The 767-nt window shown below is 37.5% G+C and overlaps 1 annotated feature.

The window, feature by feature from the left end:
* Nucleotides 350–550: a silencer, noted in NCBI's record as "peak4730 fragment used in MPRA reporter construct". NCBI's record gives its function as "represses an SCP1 promoter by STARR-seq MPRAs in K562 erythroleukemia cells {active_cell/tissue: K562}" and the evidence as "EXISTENCE:reporter gene assay evidence [ECO:0000049][PMID:32103011]".

Raw genomic sequence — 767 nt, 5'->3', positions numbered from 1 at the left:
TCCAGGAGGTGGAGCTTGCAGTGAGCCGAGATCGTGCCACTGCACTCCAGCCTGGGCGACAGAGCGAGACTCTGTCTCAAAAAAAACAAAAAAAACAAAAAAAAACAAACAAAAACAAAAACAAAAAAAACAAAAACAAACAAAAAAAAGAGGAGTTTCTTAAAGGAGCATTAATAATTCTCGCTAAAAGTATTTTTAATAGAGAATATTCCTATGCTTATTACATTCACCTAAAATAATAAGCATAATAATAAAAGAGTAGAAGGATTTTTTTCAAGTGATTCCAAGGAACTCACCCACAAGGGAATTCCAAGCCTAGGGAAGAGCCAGTGAAGGGAACTAAGATGAAGGCATTGCCTGGTCTGATTGAAGAAGAGCATAGAGACCAATATGCTTTAGTAGAGTGACAGTGAGGTTGCGTACTCAGGGACAAGGTCTAAGAGTTTACAGATTAAGTAGTGTGCAGTTAACCATTTCAAAATTTGGTTTTTACAGATAAAACGCTTTTAGAGTCGATCTGATCTGACTTGACGTTTTAATAGGATCATGCTGGCAACTGTGTGGAAAATAGGCCAAGGTGGAAGCACGATCAGTCACAAAGATAGTGCAATAATCCAGGTAAGAGATGATGGTGACATAGAGTAAATTCTTAGCAGTGGCAGTGGTGGAAACAGATTGCAGTAATAGTATGTTTTGACAGAATTTACAGGTGCAGTATGAGAGAAAAGGAAGTATCAAAATTGACCTCAAATGTTTTAATGTGAGAA

This window comes from Homo sapiens, chromosome 3 (genome assembly GCF_000001405.40).
Source record: "Homo sapiens chromosome 3, GRCh38.p14 Primary Assembly".
NCBI lineage: Eukaryota > Metazoa > Chordata > Mammalia > Primates > Hominidae > Homo > Homo sapiens.
This window is presented reverse-complemented; position numbering and strand designations above follow the sequence as displayed.